The sequence below is a fragment of the Homo sapiens genome, chromosome 16 (genome assembly GCF_000001405.40).
Source record: "Homo sapiens chromosome 16, GRCh38.p14 Primary Assembly".
Taxonomy (NCBI): domain Eukaryota; kingdom Metazoa; phylum Chordata; class Mammalia; order Primates; family Hominidae; genus Homo; species Homo sapiens.
This window is the reverse complement of record NC_000016.10, coordinates 80,579,383-80,580,928: the sequence shown is the minus strand read 5'-3', so window position 1 is coordinate 80,580,928 and position 1,546 is coordinate 80,579,383. Positions and strand designations below refer to the sequence as shown.

At 44.4% G+C, this 1,546-nt stretch overlaps 1 annotated feature.

Annotated features, from left to right (window-relative positions):
* Positions 263-752: an enhancer, noted in NCBI's record as "active region_11168". NCBI's record gives its function as "activates an Ori minimal core promoter by ATAC-STARR-seq in GM12878 lymphoblastoid cells {active_cell/tissue: GM12878}" and the evidence as "EXISTENCE:reporter gene assay evidence [ECO:0000049][PMID:35858748]".

Genomic DNA, 1,546 nt, shown 5'->3' with positions numbered 1-1,546 from the left:
TATGCGACTATGTTTTGCACATCAGTGTCTCCAAATGCCATCCTAGGGCCATTGTAGGGTGTACAGAGCAGAAGCTCATACATATTTGATGAATGCATGAGTGAAATTTAGTCTAAATCATTGAGCATGTATTGAACAATCATCATGAGCAGAGATGAACCCCTCATGCTAACCATTTGCCTCAACAATGCACAAAGTTTCTCACAAAAAGCAGCCAGACGCTGTGGATGAGTCATTTCAAAACCAACCCAGTACTAAGAAGACAACCACAAGCTTTGAGTCGCTACATGGCTGGCCAGAAGCTTGATCTTCTGAGTGTGAGTCCCAGCTGGGAAGCACAAACTATTGTGTTCACCGCAGGAGTCAGAAATGCCTGGGCCTGTCTAGAAGATGATGGGATGGCCTCATGGAGATTCTTTGCTCAGGGTCTCCTGGGAAAGAAACATTCTGAAGGAAGATTGAATCCAGGCCAAAAGCTTGCTGCAAGAACAGAGGTCCATATCTGAGGAAGGCGCTTCCCCACTGAACTCCCCCTAGAGCAAGGCAGCTATGGTAAAACCTGAGCACAGAACCAAAGAGCTGCTTCATATCAAAACTTGGTGAGGCGCTGCAAGCACAGAGCCGTGGTGTTTTTTAACCAGGGAAACAGGATGTAGCCCGAGTGGGGATAGGTACTTTCCCACCAGGGGTGGTTGTTGGAGCCCATGATGGCGTCAAGCTAGAGGACATAGTGCAGTGCAGTGGGGCTTTGGGAACAGCAATGGACGCTTCCACAGAGAGATGGCGCTGGAGCTGGTGAGCAGGACTATATGGCAGGCTCCATGGAATACCTAAAAGGGGCTTGTTCTTGAGCTGATGTGTGATGCCCCTGGTAGCATATAGTGGGGATAATGGGAAGATTAAGTCAGAGAAGGAAAGTTTTTGTATTGCTGTTGCTATTTTATATTTTTATTGTTGTATCAAATGACCCTAGGTTCTGACATATATATAAACCATTGGTAATTGATTTAATTATATAATTTATGTAAAGTCTTAACCCAATGTCTGTACATAGTAAGTGCTCAATTGCTTTTAGCTATTATTATTATTATTATTAATGAAGGAGATAGTACTAATTCATCCAGGCCGCTATAACAAAATACCATAAACTGGGTAGCCTATAAGCCACTGAAATCCATTGCTCACAGTTCTAGAGGCTGGGAAGTCCAAGATCAAGGCACCAGTAGATTTTATGTCTGGTGAGAGCCTACTTTCTCAGATGGCACCTTCTCACTGCGTCCTCACATGATGGAAGGAGCAGGGAGCTCTCTCAGGCCTATTTTATAAGGGCACTGATTCCATTCATGGTGGATTTGCCCTCATAACCTAATCAACTCGTAAAGGCCCCGCCTCCTAATACCATCACCTTGGCAGTTACATTTCAACATAGGAATTTTAGGGGAACACAAAAATTCACACCATAGCACCAGGGTCGGGGATAGAGAAATGGCTTTTGATTACAATTGCTCTGACCCCTGTTTTTATCTCTGGACTAATAATAGGGCTG